Below are 12,840 nucleotides of genomic sequence, written 5' to 3'. Positions count from 1 at the left end.
GGTGAAGCTAGAATCAGTTTAATATTTAATAGTTTCCTAAGACAAGCCTTTATCTGAAGCAAAATATAGATTAATCCAAGTAATTATTTGATGTTATATTAAAAGAGAAGTATTTTTACCAGAAGTATATAGCATCAAATAACTACTTGGATTAATCTGTATTTTGTTTCAGATAGAGGCATCTTGATGATGCTGAGATCACCAGAGTAACTTAACTTGGTGTTCTTTTGCTTTCCTTTCCTTTCCCTTCCCTTCCTTTCCCTTCCCTTCCCTTCTCCTTCCCCTTCCCCTTCCCTTTCCCTTTCTCTTCCTTTCCCTTTTTTTGGAGTCTCGCTCTGTGGCCCAGGAGTGCAGTGGCATGATCTCAGCTCACTGCAACCTCCACCTCCTGGGTTCAAGTGATTATCCTGCCTCAGCCTCCCAAGTAGCCGGGACTACAGGCACCTGTCACAACACCGAGCTAATTTTTGTATTTTTAGTAGAGGCGGGGTTTCACCATGTTGGCCAGGCTGGTCTTGAACTCCTGACCTCATGTGATCCATCCACCTTGGCCTCTCAAAGTGCTGGGATTATAGGCGTGAGCCACTGCGCCTGGCCCAATTGCTTTTCTTCACTCTATCAGATTGTTTTGCATGTATTTTTGATACCTTGTCTCTCACCATAGATTTATTTCACTTGCGTATGGTGCACACCTCTAATTTCAAATGTCTAAAACTGATCTGATCATTATTATCCAGAGCTGAACCCTTCCTTTCCTGTAGCTGGCTCTGTCACTCTCCTTGTCCAAAGGATTCAGTATCTCTGAATTACTCTGATACTCTCTCCACTTCTCCAATTAGTCCAAAGCAGCTGCACGGGCAGCTTTTGCCGGGTTGCTATCATTTGTGAGATCCTACAATCAGGAACACAAACTAAGATTGTGCGGATTTTTGGTCACTTAAAATTCTTCCCAGTCACAAAGTTCTTGTTTTCGGTAAAACCAACAGGGAAGTAGGAAAAAAGATATCATTGCAAAAAGTACTAGATGATGAGGGGAACAATTATACTGGAACAAGGATGGAGCCAGGCAGGAAGTGGTGATTCGATAGCTGCAGCTGGATCCAGCTGAAAACTAATTTGTGTCTATATTAGCATTTTCATACTTGGGGAAAGATATCCAATATTGGAAAATAATTCAGAACATTTTTTTTTTTTAGTTTTAACCATATTTTTTTTATTTCCAGATTCTATTACAACTCCACTTCAATGTGGTCTCTATTTTTCCAATATAAAATTGCCTTGTCCAAAGCACATTGTAACAATCATTGCAAGGAAAAGAAAAAATAAAACCCTATTATCTCCTCAATTGACTTCATTTATCTTTTCTTTTTTTTGTTATTATTATACTTTAAGTTTTAGGGTACATGTGCACAATGTGCAGGTTAGTTACATACATATACATGTGCCATGCTGGTGTGCTGTGCCCATTAACTCGTCATTTAGCATTAGGTATATCTCCTAATGCTATCCCTCCCCCCTCCCCCCACCCCACAACAGTCCCTAGAGTGTGATGTTCCCCTTCCTGTGTCCATGTGTTCTCATTGTTCAATTCCCATCTATGAGTGAGAAATTCAGAACATTTTTGAGTGGTAGAAATAGAACACAGGAAATGTCAATCAGCAAAGAAGATAACATTGATTTCATTTTTGTTTAACTTTTATTTTAGGTTCAACGGGTGCATGTGTAGGCTTGTTACATGAGTAAATTGTGTGTTGCTGGGGTTTGGTGTACAAATGATTTTGTCACCCAGGTAGTGACTAGAAGGGCAGGGTTCCATGAGATAGAACATTAGGGTAGAGTGCCCAAAGAAGATTGGCCAAGAAGACAATCTTGGTAGTGAGCATAGTACCTAATAGGTAGTTTTCTGACCTCACACTCTTCCCACCCTCCTCCCCTCAAGTAGGCCTCAGTGTCTTTTGTTCCCATCTTTGTGTCCATGTGTAAATCGATGGTTAGCTCTCACCCATAAGTGAGAACATGTGGTATTCGATTTTTTGTTCCTGCATTAATTTGCTTAGGATCACGGCCTCCAGCTGCATCCATGTTACTGTAAAGCACATGAATTCATTTTTAAAAATGTCTGCATAGTACCCCATGGTGTATAATGTATCACATTTTCTTCATCTAGTCCACCATTGATGGGCACCTAGGCTGATTCCTTGTCTTTGCTACTGTGAACATACAGGTGCATGTGTCTTTTTGGTAGAATAATTTATTTTCTTTTGGGTATATACCCAGCAATGGGATTGCTGCGTCAAATGGTAGTTTTGGAGAACATTCATTGCTAAAGGAGCTTCTGCATTAATCGAACTTGTTTACAACAAGCCCATGAAAAGTTTGGGAATAAGTGAGAGTTGCTTTCTATGAGGATTGTCTTCTTGGCCTATCTTCTTGGGGCACTCTACCCTAATGTTCTATCTCATGGAACCCTGCCCTTCTAGTCTACTGTCATCCTAATCCCAGGGTTTACCTTGATCATTTCCCTCTTCCTTTAAGTTAAGAAAAATTTTCCCCCATCTCCTTCATTTCGGTTTGGCTCTCTGTGTGTTCTAAGGGTCTAGTTGCCTTTCCAGCAAACTTTTTCTTTTTTTTTTTTTGAGACAGGGTCTCACTCTTTTGCCCAGGTGGGAGTACGGTGGGGCATTCATGGCTCGCTGCACCCTTGACTTCCCCAGGCTCAAGTGATCCTCCCAGCTCAGTCTCCTGAGTAGCTAGGACTACAGGCGTGTGCCACCATGCTCTGCTAATTTTTATATTTTTTGTAGAGATGGGGTTTTGCCATGTTGCCCAGGCTGTTCTGAAACTCCTGAGCTCAAGCAATCCACCCTCCCTGGCCTCCCAAGGTGCTGAGATTACAGGCATGAGCCACCGCAGCCAGCCCTGTAGCAAACATTTTTATGTATTAAGAGAATCCTTTTATAGACAAAGTCTTAATCTTTGTAATGTAACCCAACTGTGATTTCTTAGCAGTGAATCTTACATGTGGAAGAGATCACTAGAGTTCATTCTTCATATTTTCTTCTTTCTGAGAGCAGAGTTTGATTTCATTCTCCAGGCTCCCTTGCTGTCAGGTGAGGCTATGTGACCAAGGGCTGGCCAATGAAAGTGGTCATAAGTAGTTCACACCACTTCCAGGACTGTCCCATAAAGACACACCCCTCCCTTCCCCATAATTCTTAATTTCTCTCCCTTTCTCTATCTGCTGGATGCATGAACAGGATTATGAGGATCTAGAGACTGTGGAGCATAAGACAGCATGAGCATGTTCAGGTGAGGTGTCTCATGCCTGTAATTCTAGCATTTTGGGAGGCTGAAGTGGAGGGATCATTTGAGTCCAAGAATTTCAACCAGCCTGGGCAACTTAGTGAGACCTCATCTCTATGAAAATAAAAATATACAAAATTAGCCAGATATAGTGGTGCATGTCTGTAGTCCCAGCTACTCAAGAGGCTGAGGCAGGAGAATCACTTATTCTTAATTCTCTCTCCCTTTCTCCATCTGCTGGATCATGGACAGGATTCTGAGGATCTAGAGAATGTGGAGCCCAAGACGGGAGAAGCCTGCATTTCTGAATGACAGTGTGGCACTGTGCCCTCTTTCTGCAGACCAGCATTGGCCTGTGACATGAGCAAGAAGTAAACTTTTGTTGTGGCTAACTACTTAGACCGTGGACATTTTTGTTGCAGTGGTTGGCCTACTCTGATTGATAAATGTGTGCCAGCTGCTATGGCTTGAGCTTTATCATAGTGGGGAACACAGTATGGTGAAGTCAATAGATCTTAGCAGAGTATCAGCTGGATTGTCAGATAAATCTTCTCCTAGCACTATCCCTGTCTCTTTCACAACAGAGACTGGCAAATTCTCAGGTTCACTAATTAAACTATCATGCTTTTTATACCCTTTCTTTACCTTCTAATAGATTGAGTGGCACAGGTAAAGGAGTGGTGAGATCACTGTGTATAGAAACAACAGGAAATTTGGATCTGGCTAATCCTGCTATATAAGGGGGAGTCAGTTGCTTCCCATTTGAGAGCTTGGCATCTGCCTTTGCTCATTTTTTTCTCAAAATCAAAGGAGCTGTCCACAGCCTCAACAGTGATTCTTCTCCTTTTTTTTTTTTGAGTTGGAGTCTCGCTCTGTCGCCCAGGCTGGAGTGCAGTGGCACAATCTTGGCTCACTGCAACCTCCGCCTCCCAGGTTCAAGCAATTCTCCTGCCTTAGCCTCCTGAGTAGCTGGGATTACAGGCGCTTACCACCACACCCGGCTTAATTTTTGTATTTTTAGTAGAAATGGGGTTTCACCATGTTGGTCAAGCTGGCCTCGATCTCCTAACCTCGTGATCCACCCGCCTCAGCCTCCCAAAGTGCTGGGATTACAGGCGTGAGCCACTGCGCCCGGCAACAGTGATTCTTCTTTATGAACACTCTCACTAACAGCATTATTTCCTTCTCCTAGGAGGAAATTATGTCCTTGAAGTGAATTGGGGATCCTCTCTCCTCAACAGAAATCATGGGCTTGCATTGTTCAGGTGGTCATAAATGGAGTTATTCTTCCCAACTTTTCTTTTAAAGGTCCAGTACCAGTATTCACCCCAAGAGTGTATTACGCCATGGCTGCACTGAGTTCACTGTTACACAAATGTGGCACAATCTCACCTCATTTTCTTTCTTTGCGCATGCTGGTTTCTTTTTGTCTTTTCTTTTCTTTTTTTTTTTTGACAAGTGTCTTGATCTGTTGCTCAGGCTGGAGTGCAGTGAAGTGAACATGGCTCACTGCAGCCTCAACCTCTCCTGCCTCAGTCTCTCAAGTAGCTGGGACTACAGGTGTGCATCATCATGTCTGGTTAATTTTTATTTATTTATTAATTATTATTATTATTTTTGGACAGAGTCTTGCTCTGTTGCCCAGGCTGGAGTACAGTGGTGTGATCTCGGCTCACTGCAAGCTCTGCTTCCCGGGTTCATGCCATTCTCCCGCCTCAGCCTCCCCAGTAGCTGGGACTACAGGCACCCACCACCAAGCCTGGCTAATTTTGTTTTTGTATTTTTAGTAGAGATGGGCTTTCACCATGTTAGCCGGGATGGTCTCGATCTCCTGACCTTGTGATCCACCCGCCTTGGCCTCCCAAAGTGCTGGGATTACAGGCATAAGCCACCGCGCCCGGCCTATTATCATGATTTTTTGTAGAGATGAGGTTTCACTAAGTTGCCCAGGCTGGTCTTGAACTCTTGGGCTCAAGTGATCCCTCCACCTCAGCCTCCCAAAGTGCTAAGATTACAGGCATAAGACACCTCATGTGGACAAGTACATGTTGTTTTCCTTGCTTGGATTGTTCTTTTCTGATCTTTTTCCCCTTGAAAATGTCTACTGGCTGTTAAATGTCTTTGGAAACTCTCAAGTAATATTGTGGCTACAGTTCCCCTAGCACTTTGTTTATTTATTTTTTATTTTTTTTATTTTTTTGAGATGGAGTTTCGCTCTTGTTGCCCAGGCTGGAGTGTGATGGTGTGATCTCAGCTTACTGCAACCTCTGCCTCCCGGGTTCAAGTGATTCTCCTGCCTCAGCCTTCCGAGTAGCTGGGATTACAGGCATGCGCCACCATGCCTGGCCTATTTTTCTTTGTATTTTTAGTAGAGACTGAGTTTCTCCATGTTGGTCAGGCTGGTCTTGAACTCCCGACCTCAGGTCATCTGCCTGCCTTGGCCTCCCAAAGTGCTGGGATTACAGGTGTGAGCCACCACGCCTGGCCTGTTTATATTTTTTAATAAGTATTTTGGGTTATGCCTCCAGGAAGGTGACTACATTTAATCTTTTTGCAGCAATCTGAATCCCAGTACTTTCAGACATATAGTGTATGCTCTATAAAAATTTGTGGAATGAATAATTGAAAGTGAGTAGGGAAAGACTTGAGTGGATTTTGTCTTAGAGCAGTATCATCCACGTGGTCCCCAACATATATGATGGAATAACTTCTTTTAGGACTCGATGGTGGCCATAGGTATCTCTTTGTTTTGGGCATGAACAAGCTCCTTTCCCATTTTGAGAAAGTGAAATTTAATGTCTATCTTTAAATATGGGTACTATCTTACCCTTATTGAATTAAAATCCTTTCTGATTGTCCTAGCCGTCTCTTCAGTTTCCTCATGGCCAACTTCATTTCCTGATTCCTCAGCGTGTAAATTATAGGATTGAGCAAAGGGGAGATGACAGTGAAGGTGACAGAGATGGCAGTGTCTGTGGGGAGGGCAGTGAAGGGCCGGGCATAGACATAGATGCAGGGCACGAAATGCAGGGTCACCACGGTGATGTGGGAGGTGCAGGTGGAGATGGCTTTCCTCCTGCCTTCCCCAGTGTGAGACCTCAGCATCATCAAGATGACCGTGTAAGATATGAGGAGAAAGAAGAATACAAACCAACTGACTAACCCATTATTTGAAATCATCAGGAGCTCCAGAGTGAAGGTGTCAGTGCAGGCAAGTTTGAGGACCTGGGGGACATCGCAGTAGAAAGTGTCAAGAACATTGGGTCCACAGAAAGGGAGTGGGAGCAATAGAGAAATCTGCGCTATGGAGTGGACAAAGCCCCCCACCCAGGAAGCCACGATGAGGCCTGTGCATCGCCCCCTACTCATGATGGTCATATAGTGCAGGGGCTTGGAGATGGCTATATAGCGGTCAAACGCCATCACAGAGAGAGAAAAAACGTCTGCTCCCCCCAGAAGGTGGAAGAAGAACATTTGAGTGACACAGCCACTGAAGGAGATGGTTTTTGTCTCTGATAGAAGATCTATCAGGACCTTAGGAGCTGTGATGGAGGAAAAGCAGATGTCAAGAATAGACAGGTTGCGGAGCAGGAAGTACATGGGCGTATGAAGGTGAGATTCACAGGTAACTGTAACCATGATGAGGAAGTTTCCCATTAGAGTTGTCATGTACACCAAAAACAGGAAGGTAAATAAGACCTGGCTCAGTTCTCGGGACTGAGTAATTCCCAGGAAGGTAAATTCTTTCACTCTGGTGTAATTTCTCTGATCCATTGAATCACAGATCCTTTATCAGGTTCATCTCTGGAAGAAATAATAGTGCAGTTAAATAATATTGATAGGTCCTAAAATCTAGTGTTGTCTTTTCACTTAAGATTTGGCTCAGAATTAGGAGGAAGCTCTTTTCCCTATGCACTCACTGTGTCTGCAAGTCAGTATGCCACCACTGGATGAAAGATTACCCAGGTTTTTGATTCAGTCATCCCAGGAGACAAAGTTCTCTCACTGCTGCTGCTGAAACAGAGGTTGCAAGTCCGTGAATCTATTCAATTGTACTTTCACTATAAAATCTGACACTTAAAATAATAAATAATAAGAAGAAATCTGAATATATTAGGATTTCTGTTCATAAAAGCATCATTATGAGAATTCAAAGATAACCTGCAAATGGAGCAAGATATTTACAATACATTTATCTGAGAAATGACTCATGTTCAGAATATATAAAGAGCCTCTACAAATCAGTAAAAAAGCTGGATGACCCAACCTCAAAATGGCGAAAGATTGAAACCAATACTTCACAAAAGGCATATCCAAATGCCAATTCAACTTCATTAGTTATAGCAATAAGCCACAATATACATGCCAGATTGGCTAAATTGAAAAAGATAGAAACTGAAAAGATGAAAAAGTGGTGGTGAAGATGTGGAACAGTTGGAACTCTAATACACTGCTAGTGGGTGTGTAAAATTGGTATAACCACTTTGCTATTTGATTATCTCTGCTAAGACAGTATATAAATATAGTTTTATACATAGGAGGATATGTATATATCTACATGTATGATGATATATCTCTTTTAAAGGATCTATCTGTATATCATTACCTATATATCTCTTAAGGACATATTTCTACTTCTAGGAAATATGTACATATGTTCATCAAAAGACATGTCCTAGAATATTCATAGCAGCACTGTTATTTTTTATATTTTTTGAGACAGGGTCTCACTCTGTCGCCCAGGCTGGAGTGCAGTGGTGAGCTTATAGCTCACTGTAGCCTCAAACTCCTGAGCTCAAGCGATCCTCCCACTTCAGCCTCCCTAGTTGTTGGGACTTACAGGTGCCTGTCACCACACCTGAATAATTTTTTTCTTTTTATTTATTTTTTTATGCTGGAATAATTTTTAATTTTTTTATAGAGTTGGGGTCTCCCTATGTTACCCAGGCTGGTCTCAAACTCCTGGCCTCGGGTGATCTTCCTACTTTGGCCTCTTAAGTTTGATTACAAGCATGAGCCACCACACCTCACCAGTAGCACTGATTATAATTTCTTCAAACTGGAAAATGACTCAGAAATCCATCAACAGTAGAAAAGATAAATAAACTGTGTTACGTTCACACAATACTATACAGCAATGAGAATGATTTACACTATACGTAATAATATAAGAGAATCCCACAAACATAATGTTGTGCTGAATAATCCAGGGACCAAAGAGTATGCACTCTTCCATTTTATTCATATGTACAAAACTGAAGGGAGCCTAAGGGAGGCTTCTGGGTGCTGGTTTACACCAGTAGGCATATTCTGCTGGTGTAAAAACATTCATTGAGTTGGCCGGGCATGGTGACTCCCGCCTGTAATCCCAGCACTTTGGGAGGCTGAGGTGAGTGGAGGCCTGGCCAACATGTTAAAACCCCGTCTCTACTAAAAATACAAAAATTAGCTGGGCGTGGTGGCACACGCCTGTAGTCCCAGCTACTTGGGAGGCTGAGGCAGGAGAATCACTTGAACACAGGAGACGGAGGTTGTCATGAGCTGAGATCATGCCACTGCACTCCAGCCTGGTGACAGAGCGAGACTCCATCTCAAAAAAAAAAAATTCATTGAGCTGTACATGTATGTGCGTTTTTCTGTATGTTAGCATATCATACTTCAGTATAAAGTTTTAACTAACAAACATAACATTTATCATTTATAACACTTTAATCTCATGTTTAAAGAATGAATTACATTTAAAGCAAAATTTAATGGACCACTCACTTTTATAAGTTACTTTTATAGTTACGTGGTTATAGTCATCACCAGCTATCATCTGAGAGTAAACATTTTGTTGTGTTGTTGTTTTTTTGAGACAGGATCTCACTCCCATTGCCTAGGCTGGAGTGCAGTGGTGCAGTCGTGGCTCACTGCAACCTCCGCTTCCTGGGCTCAATTGATCCTCCCACCTCAGCCTCCCCAGTAGCTGGGACTACAGGTTGTACCATCATGCCTGGCTGTTTTTTTTTTTTTTGTATTTTTACAAAAAGACTGAGTTTCACCATGTTGCTCAGGCTGGTCTCAAACTCCTGGGCTCAAGTGAACCACCTGCCTGGACCTCCCAAAGTGCTGAGATTACAGGCATGGGCCACTGTGACCAACTCAAGAGTTACCGTTTTATTTTTTACTCACGTATGGATTTGAGATGTTCTTTTTTTTTTTTTTTTTGAGATGGAGTCTCGCTGTGTCGCCCAGGCTGGAGTGCAGTGGCACAATCTCGGCTCACTGCAAGCTCCGCCTCCCAAGTTCACGCCATTCTCCTGCCTCAGCCTCTCGAGTAGCTGGGACTACAGGCTCCAGCCTGGGTGACAAAGTGAGACTCTGTCTCAAAAAAAAAAAAAAAAGAAAAAAGAAAAAAAATCATCCCAAAGGGGACCCTTCTTTGGAAACAAGCTTATCAAGTATCTTGGACAGAGCCTGCAAACTGAGGATTCCCCCCCATACCCCAGCATCCCATTGAGCAAATTCTTCCTCATTCTCTACATTAAGTTGACTTTCTAGGATGCCACACATATCACGGTTTTCTATTTTCCAATTTTGAAAATCCCTTATTCTTGATTGAATCCCTAAAACTTTTACTAGAAGCATTATTCTTATTCAGTGGTACATGAAGGCACAGATAATCTTGTCATTAAAACATCTTACTCAAATCTTCCAAAATTTCATTCCCAGCCAAGAGGCAAAACTGCATCTACTAAACTCAGGAATTACTGCCTTTAAAAGCTGTTTTTCCAAGGCAGTCATCCTCCTGAGAGCTGGTGACGTCAGCACCTTCTCAACTACCTTTAATAAATTTTGAACCTCAATATCCCAACAAGTAAAACACAGCCAAGCCAACTGACCATCTTCCTATATTTTGCAAGCCACACTTTCCCTCTTTCTAATAGTGAAAAACTACCTCTTTTCTTTGCTTCTTAAGAGTCTTGACTTCCATAGGAACATTCTACACATTTGCAGCATTTCTCAAAATTCAGCACAAACAGCTTTTCAGTTTCAGAAGTTCATAGGCACTAATACTAACTGCTGGTTTAATCTTTAAGTGGGAAATTGATCCTCTTATGATGCCTCAGCTGCATTTTAGAAGAAGTAGGTACTGGGGAAATTCTCTGTTTAATGTAAAGCCTACCTCAAAGTGAGTGATTTTATTATCTTCTTTCCTCAGATGGGAAAAAGCAACCTCAGGTAATTACAGTATTCTGACTCTTTTCTACTTTACTACATTTTGGCCACCTGTATTAGTCTCCAGCCACAGCCCAATATAGGAATTAGCAAAGGGAATATTGTTAGGTATGAATGTGGAAGCTGAGTGGCCAATATAATACGCTACAATACAACTCAGGAGTTCCTTTGGGAGTCATTAAAATGTCACCAAGTACTCTCTGTCTTGTACTCTCTCTTTTGTTCTCTCTCCCTCTTTCTCATTTTTTCTCTGTTCTCTCTCATACATACATGCAGAGGCACCCGTGCACTCAGGACATACCCTTTCCTCTAGAGGAAACACATGAGACAGTGTATTTTCCTCTTTGGCTCAGGAAGAGAGTGTTTTGTTAAACCACACCAATGACTGTGCAGTCTTCCTCTTGACTAAAGTCACTTTGCCTGCAATCAGCTAGGAAATGAAACTTAAATAAATAAAAGAGTAACAGTGAAAAATTCAAAGCTCTGTGGCTACTGTCAGAGCAGCTCTCAGAGACTGTATGGATTTATACGTGCATTTTCTATTTTATTCATTTATTTATTTTTTGAGATGAAGTTTTGCTCTTGTTGCCCAGGCTGGAGTTCAATGGTGCGATCTTGGCTCACTGCAACCGCTGCCTCCCGGGTTCAAGCCATTCCCCTGCCTCAGCCTCCCAAGTGGCTGGGATTACAGGAGCCTGCCACCATGCCTGGCCAATTTTGTATTTTTAATAGAAGTGGGGCTTCACTATGTTGGTCAGGCTGTTCTCAAACTCCTGACCTCAGGTGATGCAACTGCCTTTGCCTCCCAAAGTGCTGGGATTACAAGCATGAGCCACGGCGCCTGGCCACATTTTCTGTTTAAAGCAACATGTACATTGTCCCAGGACATTTTTTTTTCTTTAAACAGTGTCTTGCTCTGTTGTCCGGGCTGGAGTGGTACTGTGGCATGATCCCAACTCACTGCAACCTCTGCCTCCCGGCTTCAAGTGATCCTCCTGTCTCACCCTCCCAAGTAGCTGGGATTACAGGCATGAGCCACTGTGCCTGGTTAATTTTTGTATTTTTAGTACAGATGAGATTTCACTATGTTGGCCAGGCTGGTCTTGAACTCCTGGCCTCAAGTGATCCGCCTGCTTCGGCTTCCCAAAGTGCTGAGATTATAGGCATGAGCCACTGCGCCCCGTCAGCCCCCACAGTTATTTTAACCTACATCTCTGAAATGTATAGCTCACTTTACATCTAGGTACAGCTCTTGATATTCATCAACTCAGTTACTGCATAATTATTTTATGTTATTTTTTCATGCGTACCCAGAGATATTCACTATGAAAACATTTAATTTGGGGAGCACATATATAAAAGAGCAGTTTGAAATCCACGTGTGTGCCCAGAGTCAGTTGACTTTTCTACAGTTCTTAGCAGCAGAGCTTAAAAAATAATGAAAGCATACAACAATCATTTCACAATGTATATGTATAATAAAACATCACATTGTACTGTTCACTGTAAATATATACAATTTTTATTTATTGATGACAGCTGCTTGGGAGGCTGAGGCAGGAGAATTACTGGAACCTGGGAGGCAGAGGTTGCAGTGAGCCAAGATCGCGCCACAGCACTCCAGCCTGGGTGACAGAGCAAGACTCCATCTCAAAAAAAAAAAAAAAAAAAGTAAAAACTAGGCTGGGCACGGTGGCTCACGCCTGTAATCCTAACATTTTGGGAGGCTGAGGTGGGCAGATCACCTGAGGTCAGGAGTTTGATGCCAGCCTGGCCAACATGGTGAAACCCCATCTCTACTAAAAATACAAAAATTAGCTGGTATGGTGGTGTGTGCCTGTAATCCCAGCTACCTAGGAGGCTGAGACAGGAGAATCGTTGGAAACCGGGAGGCGAAGCCTGCAGTGAGCTGAGATCATGCCACTGCACTCCAGCCTAGGTGACAAAACGAGACTCCATCTCAAAAAACAAACAACAAAACAAAACAAACAAAAACTAGTCAAAACTAATGTAAGTGGGAAAAATGCTGCTCAACTTGTGATTTTATGTCACTGCCAATAAGTGTTTGTGTGATCAGATGCAATTGCTTTTTCTGTCCTGAGTTATTGAATCAGGTTATGTTGCATGTTTAGACACGGTCATGAGGAAGTCAACAGGGACAATGATATGCCAAGAGTTCCTGGGTTCTTGATCTCTTGGGATTGTGTTTCTTAATCAGGCCCTATAGATCTGTGGAGTCATCTGATTCTGATATAGAGATAAAAACTTGATCTGAGTGAGTCACAAGAGTTAGGAAAGAAAGAAAAGGGCAAAGGA

The 12,840-nt window shown here is 42.4% G+C and overlaps 1 protein-coding gene across 1 annotated transcript; it reads right to left on the bottom strand.

Annotated features, from left to right (window-relative positions):
• Nucleotides 1-1,286: 1,286 nt before the first annotated feature.
• OR4D9 (olfactory receptor family 4 subfamily D member 9) lies at nucleotides 1,287-10,451 on the bottom strand. Its single transcript, NM_001004711.2, has 3 exons — nucleotides 10,244-10,451; nucleotides 7,224-7,317; nucleotides 1,287-7,107 (listed from the first exon to the last, which is right to left on the bottom strand). The coding sequence occupies exon 3, from the start codon at nucleotides 7,075-7,077 to the stop codon at nucleotides 6,133-6,135; it is 945 nt and encodes a 314-aa protein (NP_001004711.1). The 5' UTR covers nucleotides 7,078-7,107; nucleotides 7,224-7,317; nucleotides 10,244-10,451; the 3' UTR covers nucleotides 1,287-6,132.
• Nucleotides 10,452-12,840: the final 2,389 nt, after the last annotated feature.

Source organism: Homo sapiens, chromosome 11 (assembly GCF_000001405.40).
Source record: "Homo sapiens chromosome 11, GRCh38.p14 Primary Assembly".
In the NCBI taxonomy this organism is placed as follows: domain Eukaryota; kingdom Metazoa; phylum Chordata; class Mammalia; order Primates; family Hominidae; genus Homo; species Homo sapiens.
The sequence above is the reverse complement of the archived record's forward strand: the minus strand, read 5'-3'. Positions and strand labels throughout refer to the sequence as shown.

Bases quoted from the DNA above. Each gene is read 5' to 3' on its own strand.
- OR4D9 (NM_001004711.2), bottom strand. From the start codon at position 7,077: ATGGATCAGAGAAATTACACCAGAGTGAAAGAATTTACCTTCCTGGGA.